This window comes from Homo sapiens, chromosome 10 (genome assembly GCF_000001405.40).
Source record: "Homo sapiens chromosome 10, GRCh38.p14 Primary Assembly".
NCBI lineage: Eukaryota > Metazoa > Chordata > Mammalia > Primates > Hominidae > Homo > Homo sapiens.
The window spans coordinates 64,799,834-64,823,596 of NC_000010.11; the positions used below are offsets into that span (position 1 = coordinate 64,799,834).

The following is a 23,763-nucleotide window of genomic DNA, read 5'->3' on the forward strand; positions in this document are numbered from 1 at the left end:
TGAGGCGGGCGGATCACGAGGTCAGGAGATGGAGACCATCCTGGCTAACACGGTGAAACACCGTCTCTACTAAAAATACAAAAAAATTAGCTGGGTGTGGTGGCAGGCGCCTGTAGTCCCAGCTGCTGGGGAGGCTGAGGCAGGAGAATGGCGTGAACCCGGGAGGCAGAGCTGGCAGTGAGCCAAGATCGTGCTGCTGCACTCCAGCCTGGGAAACAGAGTGAGACTCCATCTCAAAAAAGTAAATAAATAAATAAATTAAATTAAATTAAATAAAGTACAGTTAATCCTGAGGCCAACTGCTCTCCAGCTGTGACATTGTGAAACCAAACAACTCATGTGTATCCAAAATGCAATCATGGGACAGGCATAAAATACACATTTCCATTCCAAAAGAGAGAAATCAGGAAAAAAGAAAGGGGTAACAGATTCCAAGTAAGTATGAAGTACAAAGTACAAAGCAAACTCCATGAGATTTTAAGACTTCAGAATAATCCTCTTCGGCTCAATGTTGTGCCTTTTAGGCACACAGTGACAGTAGTCCTACATTTCTGACCCACTGGGGTGACAATCCTGCCTCTGAAACCACTGGGGCAGTGGTCCCGCCTCCACAGCTTCGCACAATTGTTAGGCCTGTTGAAAGAAAGGTGATGGTCTCCCCTTTTGAAACCAAGGAGGCAGCCCTAATGATCTCTGAATTGCGTTTGAGGTCATTCTTCTCCGGTTTTAAAGAATAGTGCACATTTGAAGCTGAGTAGCTCTATAGTTCTGTCCTATAAAATACAGAAAGTAGGACAGTCTTCCTTTATTCCTTTTTGTGTCCTTTTTCTTCAAGTCAAACTGGCAGTTTTCCTGCTCTGGTGGCTGAGTAAGTCCATGGTTCACATCTATATGAATCTCCTTATCTTGGCCACGCCCTTAATGTTCTTCCACGAAAAGGTCTCTTTTTCTTTCCATATGAATAAGCTGAAAAATGTTCAAATCTTTAAGTTCTGCCTCCTTGTTGCTTAATAATTCCACTTTAAACCGTTTATCCTTCTTTCTGCTTACCATAAGCAGTCAGGGACAGTTAAGACTCCACAACTTTGCTTAGAAATAACTTCAGCCAAGTAGCTTCGAATAAACACTAGAACACAAATACAATTCAGCAAAGCTCTTTGCCACTTTGTAACAAAGATTTTTTTTAATCTATTGTCAACTAACATGCTCATTTCCATTTGATACCTCATCAGAATGGCCTCTACTGTCCATATTTCTTCCAACATTCTGATGATTTAAATCCTAGTCCAAGTCTGAGTGCCAGAAAACCAGGAGCAAAATTTCCAAGGGCAGAAGAAGATGAATGTCTCAACTCAAGCAGAGAGCAAGCTTGCTGTTCCTCTACCTTTTGTTCTATTCAGGCCCTCAACAGGTTGGGTGGTGTCCATCAGCATTGAAGAGGGCAATCTTCCACATTCGGCCTACAGATTCAATAATGATTTCTTCTGAAAACATCCTCACACACACCCTGAAATAATATTTTGCCATATATTGGGTCATTCCTTAGCATGGTCAAATTGACACCTAAAATTAATCATCACAATCCTACCCTTTATCAACTTGGCATTTATAAACCTCTTCTTAAATACCAAATACCTAAATAAAGACAATAATAAGGTCCTAATTCCAACTAATGTGATACAGCTATCCTGCACGTTGGTCCATTTTCCAGTAGAGAAGGTAAAGTCCATGAGTGGTTTTCTCTTCTCCTGGTAACCCATTCTTAAATACTATTATGTAAAATTAATAATACTAAAATGGTGATATAAAGTCGGTACATTTTATATTATATAATTGAAAAAAAGAGAGAAAAGAAACCAAAGATATTGGCTTAATATATGTATGTATATAAATATATACACACAGATGTATTTGTGTGTATATATATGTGTACATATCAAATGCATATATGTGTGTGTATATATATCAAAATAAGAAGAAAACACTCATGGCAGCTTGAGTCCTTGTTTCTGTAACTAGTCATATGATTGTAGCTGGTATTTATAACTATCTTCTTCTACTACTCATTCTGTATTTCCTTTGCTTTCAGCAAGTACATTAGCTAATTGTGGTTGTTTACCTGGTAGGGTGACCCAAACCTTCATTCCTGAAGAGTCTCACCTATTAGTAGTCCTGTTTGAATTGGGTTGTAGTTTTCCATTGACCTTAGTTACAGGGCATGGTAACACTGAGAGACACTTTAAGGGATCTCCTGTATTCCAGACATATTCTTCTTTGCCTCCATTTTGGAGAAGTAGTTCAATTTCCCCTTGGTAGTCAGGATTAATCACCCTAGCTAACACCATAACTCCCTTCTTTACCTGTTGATTCAGTGAGATGAGGAGCCCAAAGTGGCCAGGTACTTGTCTTAAAAATCCCAATTCAGTGAAATCATTGTTGTGCCTCCTGGTAGAAACATTCTTCCTTCTTGAACAAGACCTCTAGGCCAGCAGAGCAGAATGTCATGGGAACAGGAAGTAAACATTTTGTTAGTGAATTTCCAAGGGTGACAATAAGAGGTGTGGTGCTACTCCTGTTTCCACCTCTTGATTTCCAGACTCATGAATCCTGGCTATGAAAGAAACAATGCCATATATTGGAGGCTAATTTAGAGCATATACAGACTTCTGAAAAACCATACCCTAGCCCTGCAAAGTTTTGACACTCACTTGCACTGTAACTGAACCTTCAAAAGGCCATTTTATTGCTCTATCAAGCAAGCTGCTTCAGAATGGTGGTGATCATGGTAAGACCAGTGAATTCCATGAGCATGGCCTCCTTACCACATTTCTTTTGCTGTGACATGATTTCATTGATTAAAAGCAATGCTGTGACGAATACCATGGCAGTGTAAAAGGCAATCTGTAGATCCACATATGGTAGCTTTGGCAGAAACACTGCACTCAGGGAAGAAAAACCCAGAGTAAGTGTCCATTCCAATAGGGACAAAATACTACACATTCCATGATGGAAATAATTCAGTGTAATCAACCTGCCACCAGGTATCTGACTGATCACTTTGGGGAATAATGCCATATAGAGGTCTCAGTGCCAGTCTCTGCTGCTGGCATGTTGGGCACTCAGCAGAGGCCATAGCCAGGTGAGCCTTGATGAATGAAAGTCCATGTTGCCGAGCCCATGCTTAACCTCTTTTCCTATCACCATGGTCACTTTATTCGTAAGCCAATTGGGTGATAACAGGGGTGGTTGGGGAAAGAGGCTGACTGGTATTCAAAGAATGGGTTACTCTGTCCACTTGATTTCAAAACCCCCCTCCACAGCTGAGGTCACCTCTTGGTGAGCATTCTTGTGGGACACACATATTTTAACATTTTTTTTCCTTCAGAGATATATATTCATATATCTCTTCCCGATGTTTCTTTCTCAGCAGTTTTCCAATTACGTTTCTTCAAATTCCCTGACCATCCAGTCAAACCATTGGCTACAGCCCATGAACTGGGATAGAAGAACTTTTTCTCATTTCTCCTTTGTGGCAAAATGTGTGCAACCAGGTACCCTGTTCAAAGATCTACTCACTGGGAAGATTTTCCATCATGACTCTCCTTCAGGGATGTCCTTGAGAGGGGCTGTTGTGATGCTGTTGCCCAGTTTTGGGGGGAATCTGCGGAGTCACTAACCTGGCTAAATTTATGATAATCCTCTGTCATTCTCCAAGATCCATTTGTCTTCTGCATAGGCCAAATAGGAGAGTTGAATGGAGATACGGTGTGAATTGCTATCCTTGCATCTTTTCTTAACAGTGGCACTAATAATCTCTGCAATCCCTCAATGAATGTTTTATTATCAGTGATTTACTATGTTCATGGGTAGAGGCCATTCTAGTGTTTTCACTTGGCTTTTCCCATCATAATAGCCCTAACTACACAGATCAGAGAGCAAATGTGGGGATTCTTGCAGCTGCTATGTATGTCTCTTTCAATTATGCATTCTAGAACCGGGAATGCATAATTGCATACCCACAGGATGGGTTTAGGGACACACTCGACCCACTATGAGATGGATCTGAGCTAAAACTTTATTTATCAACTGACCTTCATAAGCTCCTACTCTGAATGGTGAGCCACGATGATGATTAATATTATTTCAGAGCTAGCGTCCAGTAGTTCCCCTAAAATTGGATTATTTTATTTTTCCTAATGCACTGGCCAAGATCTTTTTGGGGAAGACTGGGAGAAAGATTTACAACATACTTTTTGGTAGTCTGTTGGAATATTTCCTCAAGAGGAACTGGATTCCCCCTTACTTCAAGGGGGTTCTGGGCCTATAAATTGGCTCAAGTCTGAGAATTGATTGAAAGATGATGACTAACTTTATAATTTGAGATACACTTTTGTTTACTTGACTTGGAATTTTTCTGTTTATACATATCCAATAAGACTTTAGTAGACTTTTATTTCATAATGTATACATATTCCAAAACATCATGTGGTCAATTATTTTTTTAATTTTTTAATTATACTTTAAGTTCTGGGATACATGTGCAGAACGTGCAGGCTTGTTACATAGGTATACATGTGCCATGGTGGTTTGCTGCACCCATCAACCTGTCATCTACATTAGGTATTTCTCCTAATGCTATCCCTCCCCTAGCCCCCCACCCCGCAACAGGCCCCAGTGTGTGATGTTCCCTCCGTGTTTTCATTGTTCAACTCCCGTGTATGACTGAGAACATGAAGTGTTTGGTTTTCTGTTCCTGTGTTAGTTTGCTGGGAATGATGGTTTCCAGCTTCATTCTTATCCCTGCAAAGGACATGAACTCATTCTTTTTTATGACTGCATAGTACTCCATGGTGTATATGTGCCACATTTTCTTTATCCAGTCTATCACTGATGGGCATTTGGGTTGGTCCCAAGTCTTTGCTATTGTGAATAGTGCTGCAATAAACATATGTGTGCATGTGTCTTTGTAGTAGAATGGTTTATGATCCTTTGGGTTTATACCCAGTAATGGAATTGCTGGGTCAAATCTGGTTCTAGATCTTTGAGGAATCACCACACTGTCTTCCACAATGGTTGAACTAATTTACACTCCCACCAACAGTGTAAAAGCATTCCTATTTCTCCACATCCTCTCCAGAATCTGTTGTTTCCAGACTTTTTAATGATTGCTATTCTAACTGGCATGAGATGGTATCTCACTGTGGTTTTGATTTGCATTTCTCTAATGACCAGTGATGATGAGCTTTTTTTCAAATGTTTGTTGGCTGCATAAATGTCTTCTTTTGAGAAGTGTCTGTTCATATCCTTCACACACTTTTTGATGGGGTCTTTTTTTTTCTTTAAATTTGTTTAAGTTCCTTGTAGATTCTGTATATTAGCCCTTTGTCAGAGGGATAGATTGCAAAAATTTTCTCCTATTCTGTAGGTTGCCTGTCCACTTTGATGATAGTTTCTTTTGCTGTGCAGAAGCTTTCTAATTAGATCCCATTTGTCAATTTTGGCTTTTGTTGCAACTGCTTTTGGTGTTTTAGTCATGAAGTCTTTGCCCATGCTTATGTCCTGAATGGTATTGCCTAGATTTTCTTCTAGGGTTTTTATGGTTTTAGGTCTTACATTTAAGTCTTTAATCCATCTTGAGTTAATTTTTGTATAAGGTGTAAGAAAGGGATCCAATTTCAGTTTTCTGCATATGGCTAGCCAGTTTTCCCAACACCATTTATTAAATAGGGAATCCTTTCCCCATTGCTTATTTTTGTCAGGTTTGTGAAAGATCAGATGGTTGTAGATACATGGTGTTATTTCTGAGGCCTCTGTTCTGTCCCATTGGTCTATATATCTGTTTTGGTACCAGTACCATGCTGTTTTGGTTACTGCGTTGGTTACTGTAGCCTTGTAGTATAGTTTGAATTCAGGTAGCATGATGCCTCCAGCTTTGTTCTTTTTGCTTAGGATTGTCTTGGCTATATGGGCTCACTTTTGGTTCCATATGAAATTTAAAGTATTTTTTTTTCTGATTTTGTGAAGAAAGTCAATGGTAGCTTGATGGAAATAGCATTGAATCTATAAATCATTTTGAGCAGTCTGGCCATTTTCAAGATATTGATTCTTCCTATCCAGGAGCATGGAATGTTTTTCAATTTGTTTGTGTCCTCTCTTATTTCCTTGAGCAGCAGTTTGTAGTTCTCCTTGAAGAGGTCCTTCACATCCTTTGTAAGTTGTACTCCTAGGTATTTTATTCTCTTTGTAATTATTTAAATTACTAAACTTATTTGTAATAAATAAGTTCAAGTTCTCTTTGAACTTACTTATTTCTGTCTTAGTTTTGTTATTTACCCAGTTGTCATTCAGGAGCAGGTTAGTTCAATTGTGAATGGGAGTTCACTCATGATTTGGCTCTCTGTTTGTCTATTATTGATGTATAGTAATGCTTGTGATTTTTGCACATTGATTTTTTATCCTGAGACGTTGCTGAATTTGCTTATCAGCTTAAGGAGAGTTTGGACTGAGACGATGGGGTTTTCTAAATATACAATCATATCATCTGCAAACAAAGACAATTCGACTTCCTCTCTTCCTGTTTGAATATGCTTTATTTCTTTCTCTTGCCTGATTGCCCTGGCCAGAACTTCCAATTCTGAGTTGAATTGGATTGGTGAGTTAGGGCATCCTTGTCTTGTGCCGGTTTTCAAAGGGAATTCTTCCAGGTTTTGCCCATTCAGTATGATATTGGCTGTGGGTTTGTCATAAGTAGTTCTTATTATTTTGAGAAATATTCAATCAGTGCCTAGTTTATTGAGTGTTTTTAGCAATGAAGGGGTGTTGATTTTATTGAAGGCCTTTTCTGGATCTATTGAGATAATCATGTGTTTTTTGTCATTGGTTCTGTTTATGTGATGGATTACATTTATTGATTCACGTATGTTGAACCAGCTTTGCATCCCAGGGATGAAGCCAACTTGATCTTGGTGGGTAAACTTTTTGATGTGCTGCTGGATTCAGTTTGCCTATTATTTATTTGTTATTTTTTGAGGATTTTCTTATCGATGTTCATCAGGGATATTGGACTGAAATTATCTTTTTTTGTTGTGTCTCTGCCAGGTTTTGGTATCAGGATGATGCTGGCCTCATAAAATGAGTTAGGGAGGAGTCCCTCTTTTTCTATTGTTTGGAATAGTTTCTGAAGGAATGGTACCAGCTCCTCTTTGTACCTCTGGTCTAATTCTGCTGTGAATCCATCTGGTCCTGGGCTTTTGTTGTTTGGTATGCTGTTAGTTACTGCCTCAATTTCAGAACTTGTTATTGGTCTATTCAAGGATTCGACTTCTTCCTGGTTTAGCCTTGGGAGGGTGTATGTGTCCTGAAATTTATCCATTTCCTCTATATTTTTTAGTTTATTTCCATGGAGTTGTTTATAGTATTCTCTGGTGGTAGTTTGCATTTATGTGGGATCAGTGGTGATATCCCCTTTATCATTTTTTACTGTGTGTATTTGATTCTTCTCTCTTTTGTTCTCTATTAGTCTGGCTAGTGGTCTATCTATTTTGTTAATCTTTTAGAAAAAGCAGCTCCTGGATTCACTGATTTTTTTCAAGGGTTTTTTTTGTCTCTATCTCCTTCAGTTCTGCTCTGATCTTAGTTATTTTGTGTCTTCTGCTAGCATTTGAATTTGTTTGCTCTTGCTTCTCTAGTTCTTGTAATTGTGATGTTAGGATGTGGATTTTAGATCTTTCCCGCTTTCTCATGTGGGCCTTTAGTGCTATAAATTTCCCTCTAAACATTACTTTAGCTATGTCCCAGAGATTCTGGTACATTTTGTCTTTGTTATAATTAGATTCAAAGAACTTATTTATGTCTGCCTTGGTTTTCTTATTTACCCAGTTGTCATTCAGGAGCAGGTTGTTCAGTTTCCATATAGTTGTGTGGTTTTGAGTGAGTTTCTTAATTCTGAGTTCTAATTTGATTGCACTGTGGTCTGAGAGACTGTTATGATTTACATTCTTTGGCATTTGCTGAGGACTGTTTTACTTCCAATTATGTGTTCAATTTTAGAGTGAGTGCTATGTGGTGCTGAGAAAAATGTATATTCTGTTGATTTTGGGTGGAGAGTTCTGTAGATGTCTATTAGGTCCACGTGGTCCAGAGCTGAGTTCAAGTCCTGAATATCCTTGTTTATTTTCTGTCTCACTGATCTGTCTAATATTGACAATGAGGTGTTAAAGTCTCCCACTATTATTGTGTGGGAGTCTAAGTCTCTTTGTAGGTCTCTAAGAACTTGTGTTATTAATCTGGGTGCTGCTGTATTGAAAGCATATGTATTTAGGATAGTTAGCTCTTTTCGTTGCAGTGATCCCTTTACCATTATGTAATGCCCTTCTTTGTCTTTTTTGATCTTTGTTGGTTTAAAGTCTGTTTTATCAGAGAATAGGATTGCATCCCATGCCTTTTTTTGCTTTCCATTTGCCTTTTAAATATTCTTCCATCCCTTTATTTTGAGCCTATGTGTGTCTTTGCATGTGAGATGGGTCTCCTGAACACAGCACACTGATGGTTCTTGACTATTTATCCAATTCTCCAGTCTGTGTCTTTTAATTGGGGAATTTAGACCATTTATATTTAAAGTTAATATTGTTATATGTGAATTTGATCCTGTCATTATGATGCCAGCTGGTTATTTTGCACATTAGTTAATGCAGTTTCTTCATAGTGTTGATGGTCTTTACATTTTGGTATGTTTTCCAGTGGCTGGTACCATTTTTCCCTTTCCCTATTTAGTGCTTCCTTCAGAACTCTTGTAAGGCAGGCCTGGTGGTGACAAAATCCCTCAGCATTTGCTAGCCTGGAAATGATTTTATTTCTCTTTCACTTATGAAGCTTAGTTTGCCTGAAAAAGAAATTCTGGGTTGAAGATTCTTTTCTTTAATAATGTTGAATATTGGCCCCCACTCTCTTCTGGCTTGTAGGGTTTCTGCAGAGAGATCCACTGTTAGTTTGATGGGCTTCCCTTTATGGGTAACCCGACCTTTCTCTCTGGCTGCCCTTAACATTTTTTCCTTTTTTTCAACCTTGGTGAATCTGATGATTATGTGTCTTGGGATTGCTCTTCTCGAGGAATATCTTTGTGGTGTTCTCTGTATTTCCTGAATTTGAATGTTGGCCTGTCTTGCTATGTTGGGGAAGTTCTCCAGGACAATTTCCTGAAGGGTGTTTTCCACCTTGGTGTCATTCTCCATGTCACTTTCAGGTACACCAATCAAATGTAGATTTGATCTTTCTCATAGTCCCATATTTTTTGGAGGCTTTGTTCATTTCTTTTCATTCTTTTTTCTCTAATCTTGTCTGCACACTTTATTTCATTAAGTTGATCTTCAATCTCTGATATCCTTTCTTCTGCTTGATTGATTCAGCTTGTATACTTGTATATGCTTCACAAAGTTTTTGTGCTGTGTTTTTTGGCTCCATCAGGTCATTTATGTTCTTCTCTAAACTGGTTATTCTAGTTGGCAGTTCCTCTAACCTTTTATCAAGGTTCTTAGCTTCCTTGCATTGGGTTAGAATATGCTCCTTTAGCACGTAGGAGTTTGTTATTACTCACCTTCTGGAGCCTACTTCTGTCAATTCATCAATCTCATTCTCTGTCCAGTTTTTTTCCCTTGTAGGTGAGGAGTTGTGATCCTTTGCAGAAGAAGAGGCATTCTTTTTTTGGAACTTTCAGCATTTTTGTGCTATTTTTTTCCTCATCTTCATGGATTTTTCTACCTTTGATCTTTGATGTTGGTGACCTTCAGATGGGGTTTTTTGTGTAGGTGTCCTTTTTGTTGATGTTGATGTTATTGCTTTCTGTTTCTTAGTTTTCCTTTTAACAGTCAGGCCCCTCTGCTGCAGGTCTGCTGGGGTTTGCTGGAGGTCCACTCCAGACCCTATTTGCCTGGGTTTCACCACTGGAGGCTGCACTGACTGCTCCTTTCTCTGGAAGCTTCATCTCAGAGGGGCATCTGCCAGATACCAGCCAGAGCTCTACTGTATGAGGTGTCTGTTGACCCCTGCTGAGAGGCGTCTCCCAGTCAGGAGGCACAGAGGTCAGGGACCTGCTTGAGGAGTCAGTCTGACCCTTAGCAGAGCTTGAGTGCTATGCTGGGAGATCTGCTGCTCTCTTCAGAGCTGACAGGCAGGAACATTTAAGTCTGCTGGAGCTGGGCCCATGGCTGCCCCTTTCCCCAGGTTCTTTGTCCCAGGGAGATGGAAGTTTTATCTATAAGCCCCTGACTGGGGCTGCTGTCTTTCTTTCAGAGATGCCTTGGCCAGAGAGGAGGAATCTAGAGAGGCAGTCTGGATACAGTGGCTTTGTCGTGCTCTGGTGGGCTCCACCTAGTTCAAACTTCCTGGCGGCTTTGTTTACACTGTGAGGTGAAAACTGCTGACTCAAGCCTCAGCAATGGCCGATGCCCCTCCCACAACCAAGCTTGAGTATCCCAGATTGACTTCAGACTGCTGTGCTGGCAGCGAGAATTTCAAGCCAGTGGATCTTAGCTTGCTGGGCTCTGTGGGAGTAGAATCCACTGAGCAAGACCACTTGTCTCCCTGGCTTCAGCCCCCTTTCCAGGGCAGTGAACAGTTCTGTCTTTCTGGTGTTCCAGGCACCACTGAGGTATGAAAAAATAAATTCCTGCAGATAGCTTGGTGTCTGCCCAAACAGCTGCCCACTTTTGTGCTTGAAACCCAGGGCCCTGGTGGTGTAGGCACCCGAGGGAATCTCTTGGTCTGTGGGTTGCAAATACCACAGGAAAAGCATAGCATCTATGCTGGATAACACGGTCCCTTATGGCACAGTCCCTCAAGGCTTCCCTTGGCTAGGGGAGGGAGTTCCTTGACCCCTTGTGCTTTCTGGGTGAGGTGATGCCCCACCATGCTCTGCTTGCCCTCTGTGGGCTACACCCACTTTCTAATAAGTCCCAGTGAGATGAACTGGGTACCTCAGTTGGAAATGCAGAAATCACCCACCTTCTGCATTGGTCTTGCTGTCAGCTGCAGACCAGAGCTGTTCCTATTTGGCCATCTTGCCAGCCCTCAGTACATGATTAATATACACAATTTCTATTTGTCAATTAAAAAATACATACGTTTTAAAAAAAGAATAGTCTTACTATTTCACTTCTAAGTACATCATGATTAAACTAGCTAATTTCATAGGTCTGGGCAAGTCAGACTATCCTGATTGCTGCTTTCACCCTGCTGCCCATTACAGTAACCAAGCCCAGCCTGCCTTTGGTGGTTGAGTTCCACCACTTGGTCTCTGATACCCCAGGAACCAGTTACTCCCATTGCATTTAGATTTTCCAATTCAGTGACTGCAGTTCCCACTTTGAAGTGTGACATACAGAAAGAGTGAACCCAGAGTTCTTCAAAGATCCTGGGGTTTCTTTCACAAATTTATTTCTCATAGAGTGGTGGAAGGTATGTCTTCTGTACCCTCCCAATGTGGGTGGGTAGTTACTAAATTATAAATTCATTCTAATATTCTAACCTCCTAAGCCTTTGAATCACTTTCTCTACACTAAACCAAGGTACATCCAGCATTTCCAATTTGCTCACAGTGGACCATCCTTTGGTCCTTGTTCTAACCAGGCAACCAAACTGTAGAACGCTTTCTATCCCCAGAAGCTACAACATTAAATGCAGAATTTCTGCTAAATGAGCACATATCAATAAATATGGCCTAATCCTACATTATCTTTCTGCCACCATTACCCCATACTGTTAGTATCATCCCCACATACATTCTCTGGATTCTGCCTTATAAATTAGAAAACTCAAGAAGTGCTTTGTGAGTGTAGCTTACATCCTCATGGGTCACATTTTACACCTCACTCTTAGAAGTCTACTGAAACTTGAGTCCAATTATAGGTCTGGAAGCAAAGATGAGAGATAAGGGGTGTCCTGAGGAAAATCAGCTTCGAATTACGTGGCAACTGCCTTAGGGGAGTCCATTACTGTTGTCATTGCTCAAGGAAGGCAGGGTCAATCCCCTCAGATGGATACAAAGGCCCAGACTATTGTGAGTACAGACAAAGGCAGATACCACTGAGGGTGGAGAGACTGACCCTTGGGAGTAGTGAGGTCATTGTCACTGTGTCACTGGGGGTGGGGAGACCAATATCTCTGGGAGTGGTGTTGCCATTGTCACCAGAGGTGAAGAGACCAGTGCCACTAGGATTTAGAAGGCCACTTCCATTAGGAGTGAGAAAACTTCTTCCATTGGTATGGAAGACTTAACAGAATTTAGGGGTGAATGTATCTAGTTTCATCAAGATCGTTCCACACATCCCCACTGCAATATATATATATATAGGATCCCATTTTCTTTTTCCAGTCAATACCCTCACCCTAAGAGTAGAAATCATTCAAAGATGAGAGTTCAACTTGCACTGTAATTTAACCAGTTGCAGGATGAGGTTTTGTGTTTAAGTTTTAGCAATTTCAGCCCTTCAGCTACAGGAAATAAGGGACCCTTTCAGGACACACACAGATGCTCTTAGGTCATTTATTTGGTACTTGAGCTAGGAATTTGAATCCTAGAGCACATTCTTTTCTTTACCAATTCATCCAGTGACATTTTCAGGTGAGATTTGGTGTGTTCAGGGTGGTAGGGCCATAGACATATCCGGTGACATTAGAAGTAACCAACGAACATAATTATATTAATTAGTTTTCCAAAAATGTTTGAAAGTATCATATACAGAGTCACCTAGCTCCTTGTTTCTTATACGTGGTTGATTAGAATTATACAATGCAGATATGTTGCATATTTTTTATAAACAGTTCATGCCATGGACTATCAGTGTTCTCTTTACTAACAAAAGAAAGTCATCATTGTCTTTAATCAGATTAGGGAATCAGTTCTAGATACCCCAGAAACAATTCAGAAAACTCATCCTTAAAATTTTGTTTTCCTAGAACTACTCTAAACACTAAAATCTGTATTAGCCAGGGTTCTCCAAAGAAGTTAAGAAGGCTGAGAAGTCTCATAACCTTCCAGCTGTCTGCAAGCTGGAAGCCCAGGGATGCCAAAGTGCTACTTTGAATCCAGCTTAAATCTGGTGGCCTGGGAACCATGGAAACCAGTAGTGTAATTCACAGTTCAAGTGCAAAGTCCTGAGAACTGAGGTGTCAATGATGTAAGTTCTGGTCCAAATTGAAGGTTCAAGAACCAGAAGCCCTGATGTCCAAGGGCAGGAAAATATCAATGTTCTGGCTCAAGCAGAGAGCACATTTGCCCTTCTTCTGCCATTGGATGATGTCCACTCAAATTGAGGAGATCTTTGCTCAGATTTTTACTCAGTCTATAGGTTCAAATGTTAATCTCTTCCAGAAACACCCTCACAGATGTACCATCTTTCTGAGTATTCCTTAGCCCAAATTAACACCTAAAATTAACCATCACAATATCCAATACTGAACTTAATGATTTCAAAATCCACACTGACTTGCATTGCCTAAACATTTTTCCCTTCATGGTAAGTCATTGATCTGTTCTTTTGATTTCGCAGGTCAAAAATGTTAGATAACTTTTTTTTTTCCTTTTTAACAAATGTCACTCTTTCCACCCTGACTATCAGAGTATACTATTACTAGAGCAATCAAGTTGGTCAGATAATATCAGTTCTCTGCTTTAAAGACTCATAGCTTACTATCTCACGTGGCTTGAGAAATCCAAAGCCCTAGGAATAGCCTGTGGTTACTTATCTCTTGTAAGTCTCCAGCTCACTTACTTTGCTCCAACCACATTGACCTCTTTGCTTTCTCTTTAAAATGTCAGACATGATCCTTCCTTAAGACTCTTGTACTTGCTAATCAATATGCCTCCAGCATTCTTTCCCCCAAATAACCACATGGTTCATTCCAATACTTTCTTAAGTCATTCTTAAACGTCAAATTGCCAGTGACACCTTCTCTAACCACTATATAAAAAACAAGACTCCCATCCCAGACACACCCATACACTCACAGACAACCCTCTCTGATACTCACTTTCTTTTCATCTATCTCTAAATTAAATAAATGAAACTATCTATTTATCTATCTATCTATCTATCTATCTATCTATCTATCTATCTATCATCTATCTATCTACCTATCTATCTAATCTATTCATCATGAAAATTTTATTACTTTTCTGCCTTACTATGTTAAGTATAGCTCTTTATAGTTGGAGGAGTTTTCCTAGTTAGGTTTATTGTTGTTTGTCCTATAACTAGAATAGTACCTGGGGCATTACATGTTTTCCCTCATAAGAGGTAAGTTATTCTTTCAGCACAATTGCAGAAAATTGCTGAGTTTCAGTCTATACCTTAATTCTGAAATTTAGCAATCTAAACTTGTGATTTATTTCTCTAAGCTGGTTAGATCTGTTAATTTCAGTCCCATCACACCATAGGTCTTGTGTTCACTGTGTTGTGCATATTCTCCTCTAGTAGTGGCAACTCCATCCTGCAAACTTGGCTTTCACAGTGCATTATGGATAATTTTATTAATGGTTTCACCTTGCAAACTATAGGCTGCCAGATCCAATTATCTTAATGTGAACCAGGCTTTACTTTTCATTCACACCCGGGCCAGTGACCAATATCAGGTTTCAGGTCTCTTGCCTGTAACACGCTCTAACATAATGTTTTCAAATTCATGTTTGAGAGGTAAACAAGATTAACCAACTCTGAGTAATTGGAATAGAAAAAAATGTACTTCAAAACATGATATTTCTCCAACAATGTTTGGTGATTTATGAAGCAAGGTTCATGAAAAGGGCAGGAAATAATGGAAACTAAGAGGTTGGAACTACAACCAAAATCATGCTTTGGGTCCACCCAATGGTAAGTTTCCCAAATAAACAATGAGTTTCAAATTCAGAGCATGAGAGAAAGTGTGAAATATTTACTGTTCCAATTGTTTTTTTCCTTTTCCACCTTCTTCCTAATCAATCAGATGCCCATATTATAAAGTTAACTTTAGTGTTACTTTTTATTTGTTTGTATTTAGCAACGTTGAGTGAGTTATTTAAATTCTTTAAATCTCCTTAGGAGTTAATACAGTATCAGTAATAGACCAATATTTTGGGAATTATATTAACAGGTCTAATTTCTTGGTGTTTGGAGGTATCTCACAGCCTACATGAAAGGTAAGAAATCCCCCGAAACTTATACCACAGATTAGTAACTTTTCTATTCATTTTGCATATTTTCCATTGCATTTCTCCCTTTGAGACATTAATACACCATGCAAAATAAAGTTTATATGTTTCAGAAGTAAAATAGCAGGTTACCATAATTTTTTCCCTAAACATTCCAATGTCTTTTTTTCATCATGATATATATTACTCAATGTTTCTCTTCACTTAAGAAAATACAATGCAAGTCTGACCTGATCTATCTTAAACTTCATAATGGGGCTGACATTTTGCAGTGACAATAGCATTGTGTTTCTGGGTCAAAGTTAAATACTACTAACATTTCTTTTATTTATGGAGGAAAGAAAAGACAGCACTGCCATATGCTTTAATCATTTACGTGAGTTGCTCAACAAAAATTTGAAAGGCCTTCAGGCTCAAGCAGTGTTTGCTGCTGAGCATTCAATTGCAATTGCATGCTTCCTAACTGAGCTGAAAACAGCCTACAACTAAATTTCCATTTCAATTTTCTAAGCTTGATAACTTAGAGTTACATTTGGAGTAATTCTATAGCAGGGCAAAGGAGATGGATATTCTAGAAATACTAATAATTTGGCTTGAAAGTCAAGTTGAAATTCACTTAATGATATTTGAGAAACGTATTTTACCTAGATATAGGTGAGACATAAATAACATGATGCCTAGTATAATTAAAACACTGAATATATTTTCTTTGTAGACTATATGTACACAGAAAAGTAAGGTAGTAAGTCAGTTACCCTGGTTATTTATGTTAAATAAGGACTTTGCTTGGTTTGGACTATTGGAACAATTTCTAGTTTTGAATGCAAATATAATTCTCTATTTTCTATTTCATTTTTGAAGTAACTTTTTACTAAGAAAACAATGAAACCTTAATAGATTGACCCACTCTGCTATGCAACCTTTTAATACCTATAGTAAAGCCAGTGAATTTGAATTGAAACAATTGGTAACTAAGGCATAAAACTCATTTTATATATTTTGCTCTTATTTTAAATTGTTTTTATGAATTTTTAATGAATTCAGGGTATACTTATTTCAAGGAATGTTATTATATCTCAAATTTAATACATAGAAATATAAATAATTTCTACTTTCAAACAATTACTCATTAAGTTAACCACTGTAACTCAAAATTTATGGGGTTTTTTTACATATACACGTATGGGTGTGTATGTAAAACATGGTAGCAATCATATAAATTAGCATTTTTACTCAATGTTATTTACATGTTAAACATTTTCTGTGTTGAAAAAAATCTTCATAATTATAATGTTAATGGCTACCCAATTATCTCTATGTTCAATTGTAATTTAAACCATATTTCTATAATTGTTTTCAATTTTTAAAAATAGTTTGTTATTAAGCCAGAATGTTCTGTTGAATATTTTCTTTAGCATAATTTCTTAGGTGTGAAATTACAGATATATGGTAACATTTTCCTCATTCTTTCTGTGTATCATCACTAAGGTTTACATGTGTTTTACCATTTTACCTAAGCAGGTTGTATATGCAGTGTTGAGTTTTATCATTTAAAATATTTGGTATGAAGTTATTTCTCAAGTGGAATTTTTCGTCTCTCTCTCAAACATAGTCCCACTTTGTCTAAGCTTTTCTATCTTCCTCTGCATGTGAAGAGGAATTTCTAATTGGATATAGGCACAAACAATTGTGTTTAGGATTATTTTATATTAAAATTAAGATGCTTTCTTCTGTTTCGTCTCTTATAATTCTCTTTTTGTGTTTTATCTCCATGCCAATTTTACATGGCTGTGTGTGTGGACTCAGAGTGCCTCTTGAGGACCAGCCAACTTTTTTCTCTCTGCTGCATACCTAAGTATTCAGTTCCAAATATTTTAATTGGCATGGGGAAGTAATAAATAAATAAATAAATCTTTCTTAGAACTTAAATTTAAGTCATGTTTTAATTCTACATTTTTACCATGAATTGAATAAATAAATATTTAAATACATTCATGAACTAATGGATAAAGAAAAGTTTATATATTACTAATACATTGATTTGATTCAACTAGGACAATATAAAGACCTGATTTGTTTGTATTTAATTAGCAAGCCATTATTCCAGCATTATAGATTGTTATAGCAATAGCCCTCAATTTAATCATGGCTGTTTGTATCCATGCTATTGAGAAGACTAAAATCCATTTATACTTAACTTGGTCACGTGACTCGCTTTGGACAGCAAGCCCTGGGGTAACAGGTATATGTGATAGAAGGAGGGACTTCAATGTGCTTCTGCTTTGGAATATACCTTACTTTGCTGTTTTTTTGAAAACTATGATCACCCCCATGCAAATGAGTCCCAGGCTAGCCTGATGGTCATAGCCACAGATGATAGGAAGCACTGACCCCCAGACCTGTGGGTTAGTTCATTCTAGACAAATCAGCCCCAAGCTGACTGTAGGTGATGTGGAAGCTCCAACCTTACCAGTGGAAAAACCACCCAGCTGATTCAAACCCATACTGACATTGGACAGAATTGATTCTTGTTTTTAGGCATTGAGTTTTGGGGTAGGTTATTTCACAGCAAAAGCAAACAATGACATCCCACTGTAAACTGTTTGTTACCACAATACTACAATGTCAGTTGAGTGTAAGGATTGATATTTGATATTATTTATGATATAGTGTCTAATCATTCTAGATGTTGGTATCCTTATATTTTTTATAGTGCTACTTTAAGGAAATTCTGGAAAAATTTCCTAACTCAATGCCAGAAATGAGACATTTTTGTAGGAGATATGTGTTTGCTATGGTCTCATGGATTCCGTTGCCTCTAGTGAACCAATCGGTTAACTCACAAGAAAGAACAAAACAAATTAAAATTAGTGAACACTCTACATATTATATAGAATATCAGCAGGATGTTGTTTTGTGCAACTGTGTCTATGATTGTGATGAATTAGTAAAACTTACGTATGTAATGGATCCAAAACTTGAATTTACTGTTTTATGTCTCTGTTAATTCTATATGTTAGAAAGCAGCAATGATCAGTATTTGATCTAAGGTATGTCAAAATTTTTCCTTGACTTTTTGCCACTTAACTTTCATAATATTAGTCAAGATGGAAAGGCAACTTGAACAATTTCTTGTAATGAAAGTACCATCATTTATAGAAGTATCTCTTAGGCATTCACAACTACCTGAAGTAGTCATCTCTAGAATAACTCCCTCATGGTCTATCACTCTCTAACACAGTGAAATAAAATAAGGCCAGATAAAAAGAAATATTTCCTTAGGGAAATATTTCCTTAGGGAATTGTTGCAACTGTGATTTTTTTGAATAGTTGAATAGCATTAATCTTAACTATAAACAAATGTAGTATTTAAAAATAAATTCTCAATTTGACATGCTAAATAAATTCCAAAGTTTGGAAACTTGTTGCCAGTCCATCAATCACCTTTCTTGAGTGCCTGCTATGCAGGGAGTGTCACACAAGTTCAGTGAACATCTATCACACAATTTCATGACAATGAATGTTAAAACTTAACTGTTTCCCATGGTGATTTTACGTATCTTTCATTTGTTCTAATCTGTCTATACTGTTCACATTCCATTTTATCCTCCTGGAACTTCTGCTTCTGATTCTAAATCGCCCAAGTGAAACTAAACATTTATTCAAAAGAATGGTAGCTCAGTTATAGATATATTTAGCCAATTCTTCTGAGTCCTGTTTTAGCAACATGTCAAATCATTTAAAATGGGAAAAATGACAGATTGGGCTTATGAGGATGAAAACAATCTGGAAGATACTAGGATGGTCAAAATTCTTTAAAATCCATTGAATGGAAGTGAAATGACACTAATTATGAATATTCCATGTAACACAGAAAGCAAATTTTCTTTTTATTTTATGGACATTTATTAGCAACTTATTTCATGAGCATTTATGAATTTTTTTCCATTAATTACAAATAAGACATGACAAGATCACTGTTTTACATCCATCTCTTCATACAGTGCTCCCAACTGTATTACAGCAAACCTCAAAGGTTTACCTCTTGATTTAGGATAATGCCTCATCATCAGCATCAGGATTATGAACATGATTAAAATATTAAAAATTTAAATTTTTAACCTTATTAAAAGTTTACTACTTTTTAAAACCATCAATAATTTAAATATATATTTGATAAAATAAAAAATAAAATTATTTTAATATAAAATTAAAAATTAAAAATAAAAAAAAGTTGCTACCTAGCTCCCACCTTAATTATGCCTTGTTTTAAGATAAAGTGCATATTTTTAAAAGAAAATGTTAATAATTTTTACTGCATGAAAGAGTCACAACATACTCTTAAAATAATGCTTAATTTTCATGTGTATTTAAAGACTAGAAATATTCTTTAATTTATTTTAATTAGACAATATGGTATTAATTTAATTTAATATGGTTTAATTTAATATGGTTTAATTTAATATGGTGTTATCAAATTTGTGGTCAACTATTCTCATATTGTAAAAAGTTCACGTGTAATTCAAATATTTTTCAGGTTTGAATTATATGATTAAAATCATTGACCTAAAAAAATCCAGTTAGTTCTTTCTTAGTATCCTTACATCAAAAGTATATTAAGAATCATTTTAATAATTTATTCTCATCTACTGCATTCAGTAAAAAAAGAACCTTACTCTTGAATTCAAAAATTTCTATATCTAGATATTAAAACTTTCTTTGAAAGATGAATTATTCATTCATTTAACAAATAATTGTTCAGCATCTACTATATACTCAACACTGTTACTATTTCATCTAGATAAAAAGTCACTTTTTTTAATATCAGGAATGCATATTATTAACTCTGATAATTCAAGCCACATGAAACTGCATTTTAAAAATTAGATTGTGGAAGAAAAACCCAGGAAGTTTTTGGTAAAATTAGGTATCACAAACTGTTATAAAAGTGCACTTGCAAAATATATGCATTTTATTAAAAAATAGAAATAATTGCTTTTGTCTTTTTGAGATCAATGAATTGAAGTGAGGGTAAAGATACATAGACTTAGAGTTAGCCTAACTTGGCTGTAGATAATATTTACATAGTCATAGAAGTGGAAATGTGGCTATTGGGTTTCAACTTTAGAATTTATGGAAGAATCAATGTTTGAAAAACTTGGTTATGGTTGCAGGAAATAAATAAATATTCTAGCAACGTGAATGATAGAAAATAGAAGAGGGAAGGAATACATTTACTAATAGAAAGAAGAATAGATGAAAGTACTAAAACCCTTATTTTCTAATATGAAGACATGGTGAGTTAAGAGACACTGTCATAAGTTAATGGGATAATTAATTTTTTAATTAAGATAGGAAGGTAATCTACACAAAACTAAACATAGTACACTATTGACTATGGGAGTACATCACAGGAAAATAGGGCTTAGTATGATGCAGGCTTTTCTCTATCTTTAATTGTTGAGCATTAATATATGTTTTTCTAAATTTGATAAATTCAGAAATAAAGATGTTAACACATGATGAAGAATTATGTGGAAATCACCAGATATATTAAAGTGACAGAAGTGGAATGAGTTGCTACTAGGAGTGAAATTGGAGGTGCCTTAACGTGGACCGTGATATTTGATTAGACACCATCTGTTTGTATTACTTTTTGTTTCAGATATTATTTTTAAAATAAAAAAGGAAAAAACCAACAAATATTAACATCAAAGAAAAGTAAAAGTAAAATTTACATAATTTTACTTTTCTTAAATTTTCTTTCCTCAAAGTTTCCCAACCCTTCCTTCCAACCAATGTAAACATGCAGTGCAAATCTATTGTATGATTATTAGTTAGAAATAATGTCAACAAACTTCAAGCCATCATTCAAATTCTCTTTTATGCTAACTAAAGTCAATACTGTAGACTTATTTGAAGTGATTATAGTAATATTCAAAGAGAAGGAGAAACTGATCTGCCTCAATTATTTCTCTAGAGAGCTGCATTTTATTTAAGTATTTGCTAACACTTTCTTCTGGGTAAGCAAGAAAGCACTTTCTTCTGGGTAAGCTTCTGGGTAAGCTTCCTTTTGGCAAGCACACTAATTCAAGCGTTTTGAAATATAATGTTTTTAGTTATTTGGTGATATTTTCACAGGATTAAGAATCAACTGATTTGCACTGTGTTTTTATGTGGCAAACATAGAAAGAAAACATATTTTATTGGTCCTAACTTATAACTGATTATAAGATGCACTAAGCAAAAACAGAAACACTAAAAGAGAAAAGAAAAGGCCCCAAGTAAATTATGACCTGCACACACTACTATTTAATAGAAAATAGAAGTTAAAATATAACTTAGAATATAGTGTTACAAAATACTGTATGTAGTATGTAGAAAAATGCTTTTTTTTCACAGACATAAAGCATGCCTCCTCATAGAGATACAGTACTCTACAATTTCTAGCTATATGCATAATTCTAAATTTTCATAGTAGTCATTATTTAAAAAGTAGAAAAAATGAGTGAAATTAATTATATTTCATGTAACCCCATATATTCAAAATATTATCATTTCAGCATGCATTCTATGTAAAAATATATTAATGCTATATATTTTAATTTTGCACTAAGTTTTTGAAATATAATCTGTAGTTTATATTACGATACATTCTGATTAAGAATAGCCATATTTTAAGTGTGTCATAACCATATGTGGCCAGTAGCTAACCTATTGGACAGCACAGATACAGATCCGTTCTATCTTCACAGAATATTCTATTGAAGAGTGCTGACCTGGAGGGGAAGTGAAAATAAAATAGACATTAATAATAAAGTGTGATAAATGGTGTACAGAGCAGAGGCAACAAATTCAGCCTTGGATGTTAGGAAATACTCCTAGAAATGACATCTCCTTATTCTCCATACATGATATATCTGCAGGAAACCTCTGATTAATTTTGAAATTTTGATATTTATGTTCACTGGGGTAAAAGTTCTTACTTCCAATTATTATTAGCAAAGATAATTTCTATTTATGAATCTAATTAATTTCCTAATATAAATTAGTCAAATCTAGCATTAAGGCACTAGAAAAGCAAATCATATATGAGCAAAACATTTCAATGTTTCAAAGATGGTTTCATTCAAAATGTGCAGAGAAAGCCAGCTATGGTATGATTAAGTTTGTTGATATTATCTGGCCAGGTGCAGTGGCTCACACCTGTAATCCCAGCACCTTGGGAAACCAAGGTGGGAGGATGACTTGAGCCCAGGAGTTCAATACCAGCCTGGGCAACATAGTGAGACTTCATCTCTACAAATTAAATTAATTAATTTAAAAAGATTGTCCATATTTTCAATCTGAAATATGAGAAAATTATATAATATTTATGACATTTCTCATAAGAGAGTTTTCACAGTGCAGTATTCCCCCCTTATTTGTGATTTCACTTCCCTTGGTTTTAGTTACCCACAGTCAATCACAGCCTAAAAATAGGTGAGTAAGTATAATAAGACATTTTGAGAGAGAAAGAGATCACATTCATATAACTTTTGCTTATGGTATATTGCTATAATTATTCCGTTTCATTAATTATTGTTGTTAACCTCTTACTGTGCCTGATTTATACATTAAACTTTTTATTGTAGATATTTATGTATATGAAAAATATACACAGGTTTCCATGCATGTAGGAAAAAAAACACAGTTTAGTGCTGTCCACTGGAAATCTTGAAGCATGTAATCCATAGATAAGGGGGACTACTGTTATGTTTGTGAACATATACAGTATGTTCAGTTAAGGGAGGTCCTGTTTAATCAGGCTTCTGAAATTATTTGAAAACATTACATCTATAATAGATAGCAGAAATTCAATGATGTAGTACTCTTGTATGTATTTTTCTCCAGGCAAAAAGCCACATTACACGTGTGTGTGAAAACGTGTGTGTCTGTGCGTGTGTGTGTGTTTGTGTGTGTGTAACCTAACAAATAGATTCTAGAAACCAGTCTTGAAAGCAAAGAGAAGATGGGGACTTGGTAATGAACTGATCTGTGGTGATTATTATAGTTCACCAAACTGTACAATGCTGGAAAAGCCAGTTTCTATAGTGTTTTTTTAAAAGTGTGTTTGTCCAAATTACTTTGATGATTGCCAAATATAATGATTTTTCCTAATGTATATTAAAGCAAAGTGCTTAAATAGAAAGTGGCATATCTCCCTTACTTTCCCTAAGAAAATGACCATTATTGCATATAACGATGAATAAAATTTTACTGAATTTTTAATCTTCATATTCAAATTATATCTGAGTCTTTGAATTTCAAAAATAGGATAGATGATTCTACTTTCAAAATCTTTACTTGCAATATCTTGAGATTACAGGAGCAGAATTGCTAAACACCTGGCAAGTCTTACTTTTCTCTGGCTGGAAAGCTCCACACTTCCTGTCCCTTACAGGAAGGTGAAAAAACATATGAATGGTTAAGAAAAGGGGATGAATGAGAAGATAAGGAAGAAGAGGAGAGGCGAGAAAGGAGAGAAAGAAGAAAGGTCAGCACAACTTTTAAATGGGGTGGCCCTTGAAGGTAGAGGATTA

At 36.3% G+C, this 23,763-nt stretch overlaps 1 long non-coding RNA gene across 1 annotated transcript in view, besides 2 other annotated features; it reads left to right on the forward strand.

Annotated features, from left to right (window-relative positions):
- Positions 866–1,066: a silencer, noted in NCBI's record as "peak975 fragment used in MPRA reporter construct". NCBI's record gives its function as "represses an SCP1 promoter by STARR-seq MPRAs in K562 erythroleukemia cells {active_cell/tissue: K562}" and the evidence as "EXISTENCE:reporter gene assay evidence [ECO:0000049][PMID:32103011]".
- Positions 10,289–10,966: an enhancer, noted in NCBI's record as "H3K27ac hESC enhancer chr10:66569879-66570556 (GRCh37/hg19 assembly coordinates)". NCBI's record gives its function as "activates a minimal SCP1, AML or CMV promoter by ChIP-STARR-seq in naive H9 embryonic stem cells {active_cell/tissue: H9 hESC(naive)}" and the evidence as "EXISTENCE:reporter gene assay evidence [ECO:0000049][PMID:30033119]".
- Positions 15,121–23,763, forward strand: part of LOC105378336 (uncharacterized) — an 88,286-nt gene continuing 79,643 nt past the window's right edge. The window contains exon 1 of the long non-coding RNA XR_946020.2: positions 15,121–15,169. This is a non-coding gene — a long non-coding RNA (uncharacterized LOC105378336). The remainder of the gene's footprint in view (positions 15,170–23,763) is intronic.